The sequence below is a fragment of the Homo sapiens genome, chromosome 6, assembly GCF_000001405.40.
Source record: "Homo sapiens chromosome 6, GRCh38.p14 Primary Assembly".
NCBI lineage: Eukaryota > Metazoa > Chordata > Mammalia > Primates > Hominidae > Homo > Homo sapiens.
The window spans coordinates 11,183,054-11,201,439 of NC_000006.12; the positions used below are offsets into that span (position 1 = coordinate 11,183,054).

Here is an 18,386-nt window from a genome sequence, read left to right on the forward strand (position 1 = left end):
ACACAAGTCTTGTTCCAGATATTTGAATTTGATAATGTTCACAGATTCTAGAATTTTCTTTGAATGCAAATACACTTGGAAGTGACACATATACAGAGAAAACCAAACCCTCAATTTTCCTAAAAAAATCCAGACCTATAGCATTGCTAAAATAATCATAATTTAACTTTTTATATTAGGAGTACCAAAGTAAGCCAATATTTAATTCTGTGACAGAGGAGTATGAAAAAGAAAACCCAGTGGCTATGAAAACAGAGATCTAAAAATTTAATGATTTAAAAATAGCCTCTACATACAAGACGGCAAAGAGTAATACAGATTGAACATTTGGTTTTAAAAATGTGAAATGTCTCCACTTAGCGTAGATCAATCAAGTCAGCCATCTCCTAAGAAATACACATTATACAATGAAATCTACAAAGACACACTTTTTAACTTCAAGCGTTGTTGATTTTCAGCAACCCTCTTCCCACATGAACATTTCCTTGTAATGTAATGTATGACTTTTAATCTTCTTTTGGCAGAGTAGGACTTTGAGAATTATAATAGCAGTTGTTTTGAAAAGCACCTTCTATGATCATTTATTTCCACTGATTTTTTTTTAATCACTCTGAGATCATGCATTCTTGTTTTTTAAATCCTTTTCTGTTCCAATGATTTGGTTGTTTAAAACAAGCAAGCTTAATTCAGTCAGGCATATATTGCAAATAAAAACATGTTTCCAAGTAGGCTGGAATAAAAATGCTAAATAAGAACTGGGCCAAAAGATCATAGATAATGTGCTTCTTCTCTTGGTAATATGTGAATACATTTACCCATGGGGTAGAAGTATTTCACCTGCCCCATGAAGAACCTGATGGCTTGTGGTGTCTGTGCTGTGTCAATACTAACAGATGTGAGGAGACAGACTATGGAATGGACGCTGTGACTATCTGTGAGATAGTGGAAGGGGTTATACACACTGGCCACAGGAAGTTGCAAAAATTAGATGGACTCTGTGTAGCTAGCCACTCTTGAGTGTCAGGTCTGCATATGTGAGTTTTAAAGAAGGTGCAAGATAGCAATAAATTCCCTTAGAGAGCAGGATATGTCCTGGTAGCTCTATAGTTCCATGATCAAGGACCTGGCCAGTTTCCCTCAGGTAATGGGGGTAGTAGCACCAAAGTGAATATTAAGAGTCAGAAAGGCCTCTACTTGCAACTGGCGGATCAAACCATTCCCCTATTTTGGTGAACAATCATAGTCTGATACGCCTTTGTAAATCTTTGCTGCAAATATGGTTTTTACAACTCTAAAAACATCTTTTGGAAAACCTCATGACTGAACCACTCACAAATGCAGAAGATTGAACAGCCCCAGGGAGGCAATTGCTCTCCTTTTATTGTAGCTGTCTCTCAGTATTGAAACAACCCAATCCTAACTGTGGTCCTGGCCTCTAAACACACAGGTCTCTCTTCCCTCCAGCACCTGAACTATCAGAGCTTGGATCCACATATATATTCTGAAATTTGCTCCGCAAGAGGGCTTTTGGGCACTTGGCCATCATGTGTTTAAGATGGTCAGTTTTGAAAAGAGTTTTCCAAACAAGAATAAGTCATGCTATGCCTCATGATTTGGAAGGTGAACACTTGCAAATAAACTATGCTTCCCAGATTTGGGAGTGCCAGGCTCAGAATCATCACAAGGACGTGGAGAACAATATTATAACCAGCTGGTATGTTTTTAACAACAACAAAAAAAATGCAGCATTAGAAGGTGCTTACTAAGGTGCTTCGTAATTCATGGTTTTTTTTTTAATGAAATGCATCAGACAAACATCTACAAACAAACATGAATACATGGGCATACAAAAGCACGTGGACAAGTTTTCTGTACAGTTTATGTCTCAGATACTTCTATGTATACATAAGAACCACTCAGGGGGAAAAAAAAAGATTTCCCTCTCCAGCTCCCTGAATTTCTGAAAGTTGACTGACCCATAAAATGTTAAAATATTTCATTTTTATATAAAATATCTACAAAAATAGATAACATTTACAAAAACCAGACAGTATTTCCAGTTTTCCTTAGTAACCGTTAACGCAGTCCCCTTCCTCTTTTTTTTCTTCTCAGAACGTTGCCATCTCCAGCAAAGAGCGCTTGAACAGCTGGGCATTTCTAGAAAGGTCTGTCACTTGGTGCACCATTTCCTGCAGGGCCGTGGTGCTGGGGTAATGGAGGGCGGCCATCTTGGTTGCCATGACTATGGTCTTGAGCTGCTCGCAGAGCTGGTTGCTGGAGTTCATGACTTTGTTGCGAATGTCCTGGGCAGTCACCTGCCGTGTCAGCGTGTCTCCAATGAACACCAGTTTGTGTGCACTGAGGATGACAAACTTGCTGTGTGCCACGAAGATTCGCGGGGGCTGGGCTGAGCTGACACAACTGAAGAGTGCGTCAATGGCGTTGAGAAGGGAAATGAAATGGGTCTCACATTGGTCATAGTAGAAGCACAGCAACTGCCGATCCTGAGCACTCACGCCACTGTTTGTGGTGGGTAGGCTCTGAGAGGGCTTCCACTTCGAGATGTCATTCTCCACGGGCTTTGTAATCTCTTGTTCCAACAGCTGGAACTGGCTCAGCTGCAAGGAAGACGAAAGCAGATCTCATTAGAGCAAGGGAGTGTGTTGCAATGGAAATTCACTAGGCCTTGGAGTTAAAAGACAGGGATTTTAGTCGCTAGTAACTGTCAGATGCATGTGAGCTGTAAAGCCTGGGTCAAGCTGCCTTGCTTTCCTAAATTGTAAAATGTAGACGTTGGGAAAGATGATCCTCAAGCTCAGACCTTCTATGATTGGACTACTGGTCTCTTGTACCCTCTGGCTAGAAGGTAGCATAGTGTTTAAACCGCAGCCCTGTTACCTACACCTTTATGGAGGTTAAATGAGTTAACGTTTACAAAATGCTTATAATAGTTTGGTATGTAGTAGGCTCTATGTAAATGTTTATTAATGTTGAGGGGTGGCAAGGGAAAACCAAATGTAGTGACCTCCTTGTCAAGTAAGTCACTGACAGTTTGCTCCTTCTCGGAGAAAGCCTCGACTATCTCAGGATGCTCAGATGAAATGACCATTCATGACCCCTTTCTGTTTATCCTACTCTTTCTGTCAAGATTGATAGACATGTTATGATCCAGCACTACAGGAAGATTAATGCATATAAATATATGAGCACTTAAGGAAAAAAAGTTTCTAAGGCAGTCTGAATGGGAATTGTGCATCATAATATTTAGTCCCCCAGAGCTGTTAAAAGAAGGGGGTTTTACCCAGAGTCAGATGCATCAGGTGCTGGCTTTCTTCCTTCTTTCCTCATTGCTACCAAATGGTGTATTATTTAAATTGCAATTATAATAATTTCTAGGGATTCCACTAAGACTCAAGAGAGACCTCTCTTCTGCAGATAAGGACTATCTGTGACCTGAGCTTCAGACTCAGTTAATCTCCCACCTGGACGTAGGGATGAGCTGGAGCAGTGATCACCTCACCCAGCTTCCCCAGCTTCTCTGAGAGATGCACAGCCAGCTTTACTTTACTTTTCTTTTTTTTTGAGACAGAGTCTTGCTCTGTCACCCAGGCTGGAGTGCAGTGGCACGATCTTGGCTCACTGCAAGCTCCGCCTCCCAGGTTCACACCATTCTCCTGCCTCAGCCTCCCAAGTAGCTGGGACTACAGGCGCCCGCCACCATGCCTGGCTAATTTTTTGTATTTTTAGTGAGACGGGGTTTCATTGTGTTAGCCAGGATGGTCTCGATCTCCTGACCTCATGATCCGCCCGTCTCGGCCTCCCAAAGTGCTGGGATTACAGGTGTGAGCCACCGTGCCCAGCCTTCAACAGCTTTACTTTTCTAGAATCTGTTTTCTTCTTAGCGATTGCTATGGTTTCTACAAGTTCCCCAAAGCCCTGCAGTCTTACCTTGCCAGATGCCAAGGCAAACATAAATAGGTACAAGGTGATATTCCAAGGTATTTAATCATAATGGATTATATTTTATATATCTTAGGCTTTATGCAAATATGTTCATCAATATATCATGTCATTAGATGGGGGGGGTACTTTCCCATTTTATAGGGAAGTAACTGAAGCTCGGGGAGGTTACCTGACTTGACATAGTTGGTTGGCCAGAAAGGATTAGAACTCAGATTTCCTAAATATAGCATGCCATTTCATGTCATTACATGCCATTTCACTTCATTTCATCTTAAAAGGCTTGTAAATAAATCCTCAATCCATCTCTCTTTATTTGTATGCCCTTGTTCTAGCAATAGTCGTCATTATCTCCCCTACTCATACCCAGCTTTTGAATGAACATGCCCTGCCCAAAGTCCTCAGTAGATAGGCCTGGATATATGTTGAAAACATTGAATTCTGCTCTCCTACCTTTAGATTGGACCAAGGCCAGGCAAACCATAGGCTTGTGTTGCTGGCGAAAGAGAGACAAATAGCGAGGTAGAGACAGAAAGAGAGAGAGAGAGAGAGAAAGAGAAATGGCCCAATCAACGTGGCCCAATCAGACTCTTTCTTGGGAATCTGATGAACAAGAGAAGGGAGCTAACCATCGGAAGAGGAAGCCGAGATGAAAAGCCATCTATAGAAGTTCTGAGTGGCCATTTATGGGTTCTGCAAAGTTACAGGGGAGCCAAATGAGTAGATAATTAGAGAAAACCAGAAAATAGGTGAGAGTGAAGTAGACTGATAGAAAGAAGCAAAGGAACTACAAGAAGGAGAGATAATTTACAGTTCTAGTTCTCCCCAGACCTGGCTCTATCTTCACTTTCTGTTACTGAATTCCCCTACTGTGGCTTTACTATAAACCTGCTTGCTTAGGCTAGCTTGAATGGGTCTTGTTTCTTGAGACCAAATGCCTTAACCCAAATAGTCCTCATATGTTAGATATGCAGGTTTAGCCTTTAAAAAAATTGCCGTTTAGATGGAACCCAGGTACACCCAGTTGAACTAACAAGGTCATAAACCTTCTCTTTGCTTTTAAACCCCATTCCGTGCTTTGGAGCTGATTCCTGCCAGTGAGCTGGAAGAATCAAAATCATAATCTCTTGAAGTGATACCTTTCCTTAGTGCTAGGTGGGAAATCTTTCCAATGCCAAGCAGTTTTTGCTCTGATTGAACTTACCTGATGATGTTCCAGCTGCATCTTGTTCTGTTTCATGATATTCTCTTTTTCCAATAGCTCTTTCTGTTGCCTCTCAAACTCCTCCTTACCCTGTTAATTTTCAACATAAAGAACATATTATGTCATCACTGTGATTCACTTATGCTAACAATTTCATTGACGGATGAGTAAATACTCTTTATTTTCCACTGCCTTGGCAACATCTCAAATGCCCAGTGAGGCACTGTGAACCCTAGACGACAGGGGTGGCAGAAAAATAAAGCCCATTGCCATATAGGGTGCCAGCTTTCTGGGGCACCTTAAAATTTTCGGAGAGCTACTCATGATTCCCTTCAAATCTCATATATAATGTTCTTTTTATAGTCTCTGGGTTCTTTTCTCATAGATTATATGTGAACCTGTAAACCCCCAAATGCAGGTCTAAATGTGGTCCACCTCTCACTTCTAGTTCCCTCAAATCATCTATAGATTTCTGCTCCAAGGCAGTAGTTCCCACTGTGCAGGGTCAGACAACCAGTAAGATGAATGTTCAATGCCTCCATCCTCTCTCTCTCCACTTCCTTCCTCAGCATCAGGTGGGGCTCAGTTCTCCTTGCCACACTTTCTTGCGCTTGAGGGAATTTGGCATAATAGTTACGTAGTTCTCAGTATAATCTGTGACTCTCAGTCAAATTAAAAGAATGGCAGAATAAGATAGTAAGCCTAGTCCTAAACAATGGATCTTGGTAGATTTTTTTTTTTTTTTCTGAGACAGAGTCTCGCTCTGTCGCCCAGGCTGGAGTCCAGTGGCACGATCTTAGCTCACTGCAACCTCCGCCTCCCAGGTTCAAGTGATTCTTCTGCCTCGGCCTCCCAAGTAGCTGGGACTACAGGCGTGCATCACCATGCCTGGCTAATTTTCGTACTTTTAGTAGAGATGGGGTTTCACCATATTGGCCAGGCTGGTCTTGAACTCCTGACCTTGTGATCCACCTGCTTCAGCCTCCCAAAGTGCTGGGATTACAGGCGTGAGCCACTGCGCCCAGCCAGTAGAATGTTTTAATCCCTCAAAGTGGAAGGGAAAGCTGTCGGAATCCCAGGTCAACTTGGAGCTTGGTAGAATTCCCAATTGTAGGAGGCCAACTGTGACTATCCAATGTCCCATACACAGATTAAGCTCCTAGGACAGCTAGCTAATGCCCAGTGGTCCTCTAGGTAAGTCTGAGATGGGGCTAAGTTTTAAAGCAATTATACACACACATACACAGAGTAGGGCTAGCAGGGGCCTTAGAAATTCTCTGGTGCAAAGGTCTTCTATTCTTTTTCTTAATGACGAAAACTTTTTTTTCAAATAAAATATTGCATGGAACTATACATAAAACACAAATAGAAGTGGAGCTGGTATTATTATTAGAGGGCCTATTATCCTACTTGGTGAGTCTCCTCTTACCTGAGGTATATCAACGGGATCTAATCCAACCCCTTACCCCATTCATTTTGCAAATGAGGAAATTAAGGCCCAAGGAGGTTGAATAAGTTGGTCACACAGTAAACGTCAGAGAAAGGGCTAGATCTGAGTGAGTACTCAGGACTCTCAGCCCAGCGTTCTTACTACTCTACGACACTCCCTCCAATTTGTGAACCATGTAGATTAACATTAATTATGTTCTCTCCTTTGGCAGTCCAACCCGACATCCTTATAGGCATCTTTCTCAGGCTCCCTGCATGTGAGTGAGTGTAGGTGTTTTATGAGTTCCGCTGTTTTACCTGTAGGTGGACGTAATCGTAGTCATCCATCCAGCTCCTCTCAGAACCATCACTGCTGCTACAGTCAGGGGCCTGCTCCTTGCTCAGGCCTGGGGGCAGTGCCTTGTTGTGGGCCTGGGCCTTGTGGTCACCAGGATGCAGCAGCTGTCCCTGGGAGCCACCGTGTGGGTACTCCGTTGAGTTCATGATGCTCTCCGGCCCATTCTTCAGATGCAAGCTGCCAGGGCCGGGTCTGAAGAGGGCCTCTGCGTTGGTGTTGATGGTTGTGGTGAGCTGCTTGGCGTCATCGGGCACCGTCTTTGCCACCATCACAAACCGGTCCAGATCGTCACACTTGTTCTGGGGCTTGTTGATGGCCAAGATATTCAGGGACCAGCTGCACTCATTTAAGTCATGGCTGGTTTGACTCAGGATCTGGTGGGAGTCTTCAACTCGTTGCAGCTCCCGCTTCATCTTGTTGTGGAGGATGAGTTCCGGGAGGCAGGCAGCATTTGCAACAGCTCCCTTGACAAAGTGGAGGTACTCCTTCAGGAACAGCTCCACCTTGTCCACTGCTGTGCGTATTTCATTGATGTGTCTTTCCATATATCCGTAACACCGCCAGTCGGTAGTGACCAGTGCCATTAGGCTGGAGACACCCATCTCAAGGGCCTGCTGGAGCCGCTGAAGTCTCTCAATAGCTGTGTCTGGATCCAGGAAGAGCCTTTTGTCCTGAGCTGGGGAGGCTGACAGTGAGGACTCCTTGGAGGAGGTGGAAGACGTGGACATGTTACTCCGGGTGCTGCCTGTACTGGAGAAAGACAATCGGTTGATCCCATCCACCAAGTCCCGAGAGCCTTTAGCATCTGGCGGGTTATGCAGAGGGACATCATAAACACCATCCCTTTCCTGGGGGTTTGCTTTCTCACTGGTTTCTGCTGGTGGCTCAAGAAACTGAACGCCTCGGGGGACATCATATGCGTCGTTCTGAGAGCCCACTGACTGTCCGAGTTGCGGGGGTGGGTGATTCGGGGACAGGCTCTGGTGCCTTCGAGCCACCGGTTCTGCAGCTCCTGGAATGTCACAGTTGTATTTTACATGAAGGTCCTTCCCTGCTGGCTTGGTGCAGGTTGGAGGAATGTCATAAACCCCCTCCGGTCTGAGGTCCGGCCTTCCAGCTTGTCTCATGGGAGGGGGGAAGTCATAGTCTTTTTCCCTAAGCCCTGCTTCATCCCGGCAAGCAGAGGGCGGAATGGCATATACCTGCAAAGCAAGTAGAAAGCGAAATGCTATTTATTGAGTTGGCTCATGGGAACCTGTGGTCCCATGTGCTCAGTCCTATTTGCTGGCACTTTTTCGGTCGCCCTCCCCCGCCCCAATGTTAGGCACTTCCAAGGTTCCCCGTTATTCTGCTGTCACTTCCCTTGTCCTTTGCCAAGTGTGTCCAACCCCACGTTCTTGGTGCAGACTCGTATGTACAACCCTCCTGGCTAAATTGCTCACCCTGTGTTTCCAGTCCTGTGTTTCTGACCACCTCCTGGGTATCCTTTCTCTGCTGATCTGTGCCGAGAGGCAGAGTAAGACCAGAGTTCTCCCCCGGTCTTTTTGGTTATCACACCAGCTGTGTGATGCTGAATGAGCTGCATAGGCGTCTGAAACACAGTCCCCTTGTCTGTAAAGTAGGGATTACTGTGCCTCCTGTGCAGGCATACCCCATAGGGTAACAGAGTGAGTCAAACGAGTTCACTCAAACATACACACTGAGGAAACTGTCAAACCCTCTACAGGCCAGGCGCGGCTCAGCCTGTAATCTCAGCACTTTGGGAGGCCAAGGTAGTAGGATCATTTAAGCCCATATGTTCAAAACAAGCCTGGGCAACATAGGGAGACACCGTCTCTACAAAAAATAAAATTTATCCAGTCATGGTGGCGTGCACCTGTGGTCCCAGCTACTTGGGAGCCTGAGGTGGGAGGATTGCTTGAGCCTGGGAAGTAAAGACTGCAATGAGCTGTGGTTGCGCCACTGCACTCCAGCCTGGGTGACAGAGCGAGACCCTGTCTCAAACAAAATGTAACAAAACAAAACAAACCCTCTACAAATATATATTAGTACTTGCCAAACTGAACTAATTATCTTCCCTGCCAAAGGGTTATCCTTATTGGCCACCTAGTGTTTTTTAGTTGGGGCTTCTCAATATGAAATCCCTAGAGCTATCTTTAATTAGTGCCTTTCCTTTTTTGCTTCCTTCCTTTACTCTCACCAAGACTACATTTTCCCCTTTTGGGTTTGCCTTTCTTGTTTTATTCGAGTGAACTACTTACCCACCCTCCCAACCCTGCACCCCCCGACACACAGACACACACACACACTCCTTTTTGCTGCTTTGTAGTCACTCACTCACCCCTTTTGTAGGCGGGATGTCATACACCCCTTGAGGTTTTATCTCTCCCACTGGAACTGAAAACACAGGGCCTTTTGCTGATGAGGGAGGGATGTCGTATACCTGAAGAGAAACCCGTGAGTTACCCAGAATGGAAATGTCTTATACTTGGTCATTTTTTATGCTCCTAAGCACTTAATTATGGATTTATTTACCAGGTTATGTACAAGCTTGATCTTTGGCAGTGCTCCATGTTATAACAGATTTATTGCCTTTTTTTTTAATACATTTTATGGTTTTTAACTTACATTTAATATAAAAATGATTTTGGCCAGGCACGGTGGCTCACGCCTGTAATCCCAGCACTTTGGGAGGCTGAGGTGGGCAGATCACAAGGTCAAGAAATCGAGACCATCCTGGCCAACATGGTAAAACCCCATCTCTACTAAAAATACAAAAATTAGCTGGGTGTGGTGGTGCACACCTGTAGTCCCAGCTACTTGGGAGGCTGAGACAGGAGAATCGCCTGAACCCGGGAGGCAGAGGTTGCAGTGAGCTGAGATCGTGCCACTGCACTCCCAGCCTGGTGACAGAACAAGACTCTGTCTCAAAAAAAAAAAAAAAAAAAAAAAAAAAGATCTTATGTGAAATATCTACGCTGTCTGTACTTTAAAGTGTAGTTTAAATTTTCTACTTTCCAGCTGGGGGCCGTGGCTCACACCTGTAATCCCAGCACTTTGGAAGGCCGAGGTGGGCAGACCACTTGCAGTTAGGAGTTCAAAACCAGCCTGGCCACCATGGCAAAAGCCTGTCCCTACAAAATACAAAAATTAGTCAGGTATGGTGGTGTGTGTGCCTGTAGTCCCAGCTACTTGGGAAGCTGAGGCAGGGGCAGGAGAGTTGCTTGAGCCTGGGAGGTGGAGGTTGCAGTGAGCTGAGATAGAGCCACTGCACTCCAGCCTGGGCAACAAAGTGAGATTCTGTCTTAAAAAAAAAAAAAAGAAAAAAGAAAAATCTACTTTCTGAAGCAAAATTGTAGAAGAACATAAGCTCTCTTGGGTGAAATACTAGGATTTCCTGATAAAGCAAATCCAGAAAACATAATTTAAATAGCATTGGCTAAAGTGGCTACTGGGTAGACAACCTAAACAAAGCTTCATATGACATATATTAATGCATAATTTGTGAACTCCCTTTTCTCTACAGCCCTGAAGGAATGCTACCCTTAGAAGCGCTTCTCCTCTTGTGACCATGTTCTGGTACGCACCCCTTGAGTGGTATGAGAAGGAGGGATATCATAGACGTCCTTTTGGTATCTGGATGGGTACTCGTATACGTAGCCATGGCCTGTCCTCACGGGGGTTATCACCTGTGGGAGAGAAGGCACAGAGGTGTAAATTTCCAAGCCTGAGTCCTTGAATCTCCTTGCCTCCTAACTAAGCACTCATCCCTCAACTCTCCCTCATAAAAAGATAGAAAGAAACCAAAGAAAGAAGACATAACAGGAAGGAGACAAGTAGACACCACGTTAGTAAACTTTTTTTTTTTTTTTTGAAATGGAGTTTTGCTCTTGCTCCCCAGGCTGGAGTACAGTGGCACAATCTCAGCTTACAGCAACCTCTGCCTCCCGGGTTCAAGTGATTTTCCTGCCTCAGCCTCCTGAGTAGTTGAGATTACAGGTGCACGCCACCATGCCCAGCTAATTTTTTGTATTTTTAGTAGAGACAGGGTTTCATCATGTTGGCTGGTCTCAAACTCCTGACCTCAGGTGATCCACCCACCTCAGCCCCCAAAAGTGCAGGGATTACAGGTGTGAGCCACTGCATCTGGCCCAGGTTAGTAAACTTTTAAATCCCTCTTGAATCCCAATGAGAAAAAAAATCCCTAAAATATCTCTATCACCCTTAATTGTGATCATCTCAAAGTTCATCAGATAGAGTTGATGCACTGCAAGCATATTTCTGAAATATACTTTAAGGGATACTTGTGTGTAACTTATGAAAGTCCTAGAGGAGCATTTTGCATCTAAAGTACCGCATACTGAAATTTGCTTTAAGGCTCTGAAACAATTTGTAAAATGAATAATGCAAATAGAGTTTAGCCACTTAAAATTCCTCTCATGCCTTCCTCAGTATGCCTCTTCATTGGACATTATTATGATGATTATAACTGTAATTCCACAGGTCACCAGAGTACTTTTACAAAGCCAATGCTCAAACTGTGCTGTCCTTAGAAACCTCTGGGAGCTTTCATTCTAACGTATCAAACAAACAAAATACTGAGTCAGGGAGGCACCAGGAACAGAATTCAGGTCTCCTGACCTCTGGTCTCTAATCATTTTCCCATTTCCACCAGGAAAGAAAACATCCCCAACAGTACCTACGTCAAGGGATATCAGAAGTCAAATAGCGTTCATCACGATGCTGGCATCTGGAACCAGTGCCAATAAAATGAATCTTACCTAGCAGCCTCCTGTTTTCATATCTACATACTTCATTGGTGTGCTAAGCACCAGCAAAAAATTATTTGAACTTAACTCATTTTGAAATATATGTAATCGTCCAAGGGCTTCTAAATGCCCAGGGTCTTGTTTCTGCCTAACCCCCACCCTTTGAGTCATTGAGTGCCCATCTCAAGCGTTGCCCACGACATCTTTGAGGAGAACAGACATTGCAAATGAGGAAGAGTTGGTTGTTCCCTAAGAAACCGTCAACTTTTATCCTTTCTCTGAAGTGAAAACTCTGGCGTCAGGCTGCCTACAGAACTATGTGAAAAATGCTCCACGTCCATCTTATGCTGAAATGGGTGGAACTCAGCCAAATGCACCAATGCCTTCTCCCCAGGCGCTCTCAAAATGCCTGAGTTCAATTTGGCTTTTAATCCCTAGTGCTTACAACTGATTGTTTCTTGCAACGAAGTAAAAGAGATTAGTATGCACTCAAAATTTCCATCAAGTCTCTCCACTGTCTTGGGTTTAAAAAAGGAACCTATTGCTTTGAGGTCTGTTGGCATGGAGCATACGGAACCACTTTATAGAATGGCCACTGTATTGTGCATAGCAAACCTTCCTTTTCAAAGCAGGATGCCCTTTGCTAAAGAAAAACACAATGTGTTCCTAATGCCCTTATATGATTGTTTTTTTTTTTTTACTCGCTATTGTCCAGGAGAGAAATGAAGATCTCCCCTTAGTCTATTTCATCAGCCCCTCTACTTAGAGCGCTGTCTTGGCTTTATCATAGCACCTGCTCATAGTGCAGCTTTTGTTCAGCTTAAAAGTTTCCAAGAGTGGATTTTATCCAAGGTTGCCAACTTAGCAATAATGCTAATGGAAAACCAAGGCTAAGTCCAGCTTAACTGTTCATCTTTCGTTTAAAAAACAGAAGCGGGCATGTCGGGCGCAGTGGCTCATGCCTGTAATCCCAGCACTTTGGGAGGCCAAGGCGGGAGAATCACCTAAGGTCAGGAGTTGGAGACCAGCCTGGCCAACATGGTGAAACTCCGTCTTTACTAAAAATATAAAATTAGCCGGGTGTGGTGACATGTGCCTGTAATCCCAGCTACTCGGGAGGCTGAGGCAGGAGAATCACTTGAATTCGAGAGGCGGAGGTTGCAGTGGGCTGAGATCTTGCCACTGCACTCCAGCCTAGGCAAAAAGAGTGAAACTCCGTCTCAAAAAACAAACAAACAATCAAACAAACAGGCTGGGCGTGGTGGCTCACGCTTGTAATCCCAGCGCTTTGGGAGGGCAAGGATCGCGGATCACGAGGTCAGGAGATCGAGACCATCCTGGCTAACACAGTGAAACCCCATCTCTACTAAAAATACACAAAATTAGCCAGGTGTGGTGGTGGGCGCCTGTAGTCCCAGCTACTTGGGAGGCTGAGGCAGGAGAATGGCGTGAACCTGGGAGGAGGAGCTTGCAGTGAGCCAAGATCGTTCCACTGCACTCCAGCCTGGGTGACAGAGAGAGACTCTGTCTCAAAACAAAACAAAACAAACAAACAAACAAAAAACCCAGAAGGGGATTGGGAGCTAGAGTGGGTGGCGTTGGTGTCTGAAAATAGCACTAGGTGACATATAAACACATAGCACGACCTCAGAAAAGGAAGGCAGGTTCACCGCTAAAGTGTTTCCTTGCCTTTGTGGATCTTCCCTGGCAGAAAGCGCTAATGCTTCCCGGTATTTAACATTTCACTTCCTGACAAATGTCACAGAACCCCAACTTGCTCTCTCTTTCTCATTTAGAGGATGCCTGTGGTCTTCTGGTTTTTTAAAACTCTGCATTCCAAACCAGTCATTTTCCTTGTTTATGCATTCAAAGAAACAGATGGTGAAAACCACAGGGGGGAAACGCCAACCGAATACAGCACCCCCCGCCCGCCACCACCGATTCCAGCCTTCCTGACATTACCATCTAATTCACGTTGGTCCACAAATGGCATTTAAATGGGACCAGGATGCAAAATGCTGGTCCCATTTAAATGCCAAGTCCAGTGCAGCAATCCGCATTGTGACGTGTGGAAGATCAGGGAGCTCGAAGTCTTCTACTTTTGGACATTCTCTGCCTCGACCTGTTGCTTGGGTCACTTTCATGCCAATTGTGTGTCCTCTCCTCGGAGGAAAAGTGCTGACTGAGCTGTACCTTACAAAGTCTCCAGTTTTGTGGTTCATTAAGGCTTTTTCTTGCTGCGTGACATAAGTACACAAAAACCTTCCAACGATCTCTCCTCATTCCACCTCCCAGAACTGCTGAATTTCAGCTGAAGACGCACACCAAGGTCTGGTTAAGGGGACCTCAAGTTTGGAAGAATTCTCCTAGGCATTTGTTCGGTGAGGCATTAAAGGAATTGCTACACAAAGGACATTTTTAAACTAATTTTCTCAATGAAATCAAGTCAGGTTTTTCATTTCCTTTCCCCCTCTGTTTGCTTTTTTTTTTTTCTACATTCCTTTCATTCTGTGCATTTATTTATAGTTACAAAGGCTTAGCCTTTGGAATTACCAAACTGACCTCTTAATTCATTAGTGTTGCCAGGAAGGGGGCTGAATTGTGAGGTCTCCTGGGGCTCTATGATCCAATGCTACTGCAACTGCTTTCGTGATTACCCGGCACAGGATTTGCACTTTCCATATGTGGATTTTCTGTCCCTAGGAGGAATCCAACCTTTCTCAGATGTTAGTATACCATTCTCAGTAACTAACGGGAGGGTCCAAGACAGAGACTTTGAGAAGAGCTATGAAGCCGAGAAGGGCAGATTCTTCCATTTAGAAAAGGAAGAATCCATTTAATACATCTCCAAGTCTGGGTCCTGGCAGGATAGGATCAAAAGCCCAAAGACTGGCGTTATGTTAGTTCTCTAATTAATCTGCTTACATAAAAACAAGGAAACAAACTCGAATTGCCCCACCCCACACTTTGATGGTGTTTGATCCACACTGTTTTGAGTCTCAGATCCTGGCGGCATGAGTTTCTGGAGATGCTTTTGACACTTTCATGCCTCATAATTTTGAAAGCCATGTATGCTGAAATTTTAAAGAGGAGGGTCTGTGTTTGGATAGCAGAGAGAGATAGGGAGGTCTGAGAACCAGCATGATGACAGTCAGCAAGTTGGATGAGAGGCCCTTGGGACTCTTTCTGATGTTTCTGCATCTGTGTTCCCTGAGCTGGTACCCATAGCAGAGCAAGGGTCCTATACTCAGATGCTCACGGACCGAGCAAGCAGGGTGTAGGGAAGAAACAAGCCAGGCTTTGGTGCCGGGGAGACAGAACTCCTTCTACCGAAAGAGGGAAGACATTGCGCCCTGTGTTGCCAGATCTTTCACGTTTTCAGAAGCCAGAAATTTGGAATTTTATGTGAAACCTGGTTTTCAAAATTGACTTAAATTTTAAAAACAGTGTCTTGGCCAAACTAAACGCGTCTTTGGCCTCCGGGCTGCCAGTCTTTGCCTTCATCTGTGTATTTTTGCCCTCCTTCCTCTTGGAAATCTTCTGAAGGCAGGGCCCCCAGGCTCTGCACCAACTCCCTCCCTCGGCGAGAACTGAGCTGTCCATTTCCACAGATGCCCTGCACGCCCATACCTCTGTGCCTTCATCCATGCCATGTCCTTGTCTGAGATGCTCTTCTTTCTTTCCTCATATTCAAACTTTAATTGATTTTCAAGGCCCGGCTGAATGCCTTTCCCCCACCAAGCCCTTCCCAAACAGATAATATGTCTCTATCCTTGGAACTCCCTGAGCCAGTGATCCACACATCTCTGACAGCACTTATCACTTGTGGTTTGACGGTCTTGATGCATCTCATCTCTTCTTCCAGCATTTTAAAGTCAGAGATCATTCCCTCTTCATTTAAATATAAACCACAGGGCCTAGTACAGTGCCTAGCAGAGTAGGTCTTGCATAATCTATTGAGTGATACATTAATCAACTAAAGGAAAACTGAAGGCTATTAAGCAAGATGGCGTGAGGTCTGCCACTACAGAATAAGCTTGGTTTCCAGGTAAGCCAGCTCTGGGTTAAGTAGAACCCATGGGATATGGGGCAGAACAGTGCCCTATCAGCCATGCATGGTAGTGTTGGGCAAGAGAGGGATCCAAGAAGGCAAGGGAATGTTAGGTGAAGTTGAGAAATCAGAAACTGTAGAAGAATGCACCCCAAGTTGGGTGAAGCCACTATTGGCAGGCAAGGAGGGCTGCTGGATGGTTTCCTTTTCCCCAGTTGAGCTCGTATGTGACATGAACACCTGGGTTCTTCTTAACCACAAGCCAGAAACATGTGGGGGAGTGTTTTGGAAAAGGGAAACCAAAACAAACCCTGCTTTTTACCTCAACATCAGAAGGAACATACGATTGCTTTAGTTCTGGGGATGTGTGATAGGCTCGTTTATGAGAAGCTGTGTGCCAGAGGCCATGGCCCCACTGGGTCTTTTTCTGTTGCTTATTGGAAGAATTAGGTCTGAAGAGGGAAGTAATTGACAAACAGAAGCTGGACTCAGGCAGAGCTGGATCTAAATCCCGGTTCTACCACTCACAAGCTATGAGAACAAAGGTTCCATTCTAAGCCTGTTTTCTCATAGGTAAAATGGAAATTATACTTCCCTCATAGGCTATATGAGTATTAAATGAGATCAAGTGCATAAAGTACCTGGCATAAAGCCATAATAAGCCTTAGCTATTGTTATTGTTATTGTAATTGTCACCTAGGCTATATAGATTTTACCTTTTGACTTTGACTTCCAGAAATCATGGACTAGGTAATTGAGATTAACCATCTTGCTGAAGACAACTTAAAAAAATGAAGAAAAGCTAGGAAAGATCTTTTTTTTTTTTTTTTTTTTTTTTTTTTTTTTTTTTTTTTTGAGACAGAGTCTTACTCTGTCGCCCAGGCTGGAGTGCAGTGGTGAGATCTCGGCTCACCGCAAGCTCCGCCTCCTGAGTTCACGCCATTCTCCTGCCTCAGCCTTCCGAGTAGCTGGGACTACAGGCACCCGCCCACTGCGCCCGCCACCGTGCCCAGCTAATTTTTTGTATTTTTAGTAGAGACGGGGTTTTACCGTGTTAGCCAGGACGATCTCGATCTCCTGACCTCGTGATCCGCCCGCCTCGGCCTCCGAAAGTGCTGGGATTACAGGCGTGAGCCACTGCGCCCAGCCGAAAAGATCTTCTTAATAGTGTCAAGAGTTCAAGGATAATAAAGAATTACTAGGTCAAACTTTGGGAGAAGAGTTAATAGAGGTGAGATTGCTTTTCAAGCCTGGGGGCATTTGCTATTTTTTGCTGATCTGAAACTGGTGCCTGGGAGGCTGTGCTGGGTTTTCTACAGCTTCTTTGGGTAAGGGGGAACATTGGACTATAGGGCTCACCAAGGCAGGGACCCCAAACCACCCCCGACTTTGGGTTGGAACCCTAAGGACTGTATCCAAAATAAGGATTAACTGGAAGTAAACCCACCCTTGCACAGGCTGAAGACATCAGGGTTGCCAGAACAGCTCAAAGCATGGAATCAGATGTATGCTTGCCTATGAGGCTGGCAGAAGGAAACAAAATTCTCTCTGGAGGCAGAGAACATCTTTATAGGCTTCACATTATTTCTACAAATGTACTGAAAATACAATGTCCCACATACAATCAAAGATAAACAGGAATTCAGGGGACAAGACAACAGGAACAAGACAAGCAACAGTCAATTCTTGCTTTCTAATGTGATAAGAATGTTATGTATGTCTTAGTAATCACAGATCTCAAGGCTGTTTCCTTTCAAAATGTTTTAGGATCAAATCATGGGAGAAATGAAGATTTAATCATTCCTAAATTTAAGTCAGATAGAAAGAAATCAATCTTTAGGAATGTATAGTGCTCAAAATGAGATCTACGAGGCAGTGAGAATTTCAAACCAAAGCAGCAAATGGTAAGAGACAGTGGTCCTTGATGATCATCTGTAGAGTTCTTGGGGTTACTGTTTTCTGCTGTTCGTATCAGTATTGGCATTATTACGGTTATCACCAGAGCAGCTCAAGACACGCCAATGGGAAACCCCAGGAGAAAATGTGTTTTTCCAAGTCTAGGAGATGAAGATATTTATCCAAGAGAAAGACGGCAAGCCTCCAAACTCAGGACACTTTATTAAAATGCTCATCAGATGAGATCTTTTCAGTGGAGGTTCACAAGCTGGTTTGTTTAGAGGCTCTCACTAAGAAATAGGACACTTGCCCATCTCTCTGGAACACCTAGAGACAAAGCATTTTCTGTCAAGACAAGTTCTGCTCACATTGTGTCACTTGTTCAAGGTCTCAGCAAGTCTCCTTGGGGGCACTTCTTTCCTTGGGCATCCACTTCACCTCCTTAATGCAGAGCTGGCTAGGTGCCTGGGATGGGGCAGAGCAGCGGCAGCAGAGGCCATGTGGTCAGAACTTCAACTTCTCAGCTGCATGCTGCTAGCTCAATGGAGCACTAAGGGAAGCGGGAAGGGAGCAGACGGCTGCCACTCACAAAGGCCAATCCCCCTCCCCACAGCAAGCCTCATATCCATCATGTTTTGCTATGTTTCCTTCTGATGCCAGCCCTGTGGGTCACCCACCCACCTACTTATCATGACTTCTCATCTCTCCCCTCACAACACT

General features: G+C 44.6%; 1 protein-coding gene across 5 annotated transcripts in view, besides 6 other annotated features; it reads right to left on the reverse strand.

Moving 5' to 3' along the window:
- Nucleotides 1-244: 244 nt before the first annotated feature.
- The window catches only part of NEDD9 (neural precursor cell expressed, developmentally down-regulated 9), a 199,051-nt gene continuing 180,909 nt past the window's right edge, over nt 245-18,386 (reverse strand). For 3 of the 5 annotated variants that reach the window (NM_001142393.2, NM_001271033.2, NM_006403.4), the window contains 5 exons: nt 10,538-10,639; nt 9,292-9,393; nt 6,911-8,152; nt 5,165-5,254; nt 245-2,618 (listed from right to left, as the gene is read on the reverse strand). In NM_001142393.2, coding sequence (NP_001135865.1) covers nt 2,109-2,618; nt 5,165-5,254; nt 6,911-8,152; nt 9,292-9,393; nt 10,538-10,639 — 2,046 coding nt within the window. In that variant the 3' untranslated portion in view covers nt 245-2,108. Of the gene's footprint in view, nt 2,619-5,164; nt 5,255-6,910; nt 8,153-9,291; nt 9,394-10,537; nt 10,640-15,254; nt 17,994-18,386 lie in introns of those variants that run through there. The other 2 variants (NR_073131.1, NM_182966.4) reach the window with 2 other exon arrangements.
- Nucleotides 1,971-3,170: an enhancer, noted in NCBI's record as "CDK7 strongly-dependent group 2 enhancer chr6:11185257-11186456 (GRCh37/hg19 assembly coordinates)". NCBI's record gives its function as "activates an origin of replication core promoter dependent on BRD2, BRD4, P300/CBP, MED14 and CDK7 cofactors, with strong dependence on CDK7, by STARR-seq in HCT116 cells {active_cell/tissue: HCT116}" and the evidence as "EXISTENCE:reporter gene assay evidence [ECO:0000049][PMID:35650434]".
- Nucleotides 6,644-7,415: an enhancer, noted in NCBI's record as "H3K27ac-H3K4me1 hESC enhancer chr6:11189930-11190701 (GRCh37/hg19 assembly coordinates)". NCBI's record gives its function as "activates a minimal SCP1, AML or CMV promoter by ChIP-STARR-seq in naive H9 embryonic stem cells {active_cell/tissue: H9 hESC(naive)}" and the evidence as "EXISTENCE:reporter gene assay evidence [ECO:0000049][PMID:30033119]".
- Nucleotides 7,416-8,186: an enhancer, noted in NCBI's record as "H3K27ac-H3K4me1 hESC enhancer chr6:11190702-11191472 (GRCh37/hg19 assembly coordinates)". NCBI's record gives its function as "activates a minimal SCP1, AML or CMV promoter by ChIP-STARR-seq in primed H9 embryonic stem cells {active_cell/tissue: H9 hESC(primed)}" and the evidence as "EXISTENCE:reporter gene assay evidence [ECO:0000049][PMID:30033119]".
- Nucleotides 12,105-12,971: an enhancer, noted in NCBI's record as "H3K27ac-H3K4me1 hESC enhancer chr6:11195391-11196257 (GRCh37/hg19 assembly coordinates)". NCBI's record gives its function as "activates a minimal SCP1, AML or CMV promoter by ChIP-STARR-seq in naive H9 embryonic stem cells {active_cell/tissue: H9 hESC(naive)}" and the evidence as "EXISTENCE:reporter gene assay evidence [ECO:0000049][PMID:30033119]".
- Nucleotides 12,972-13,837: an enhancer, noted in NCBI's record as "NANOG-H3K27ac-H3K4me1 hESC enhancer chr6:11196258-11197123 (GRCh37/hg19 assembly coordinates)". NCBI's record gives its function as "activates a minimal SCP1, AML or CMV promoter by ChIP-STARR-seq in naive H9 embryonic stem cells {active_cell/tissue: H9 hESC(naive)}" and the evidence as "EXISTENCE:reporter gene assay evidence [ECO:0000049][PMID:30033119]".
- Nucleotides 16,177-16,226: an enhancer, noted in NCBI's record as "active region_23979". NCBI's record gives its function as "activates an Ori minimal core promoter by ATAC-STARR-seq in GM12878 lymphoblastoid cells {active_cell/tissue: GM12878}" and the evidence as "EXISTENCE:reporter gene assay evidence [ECO:0000049][PMID:35858748]".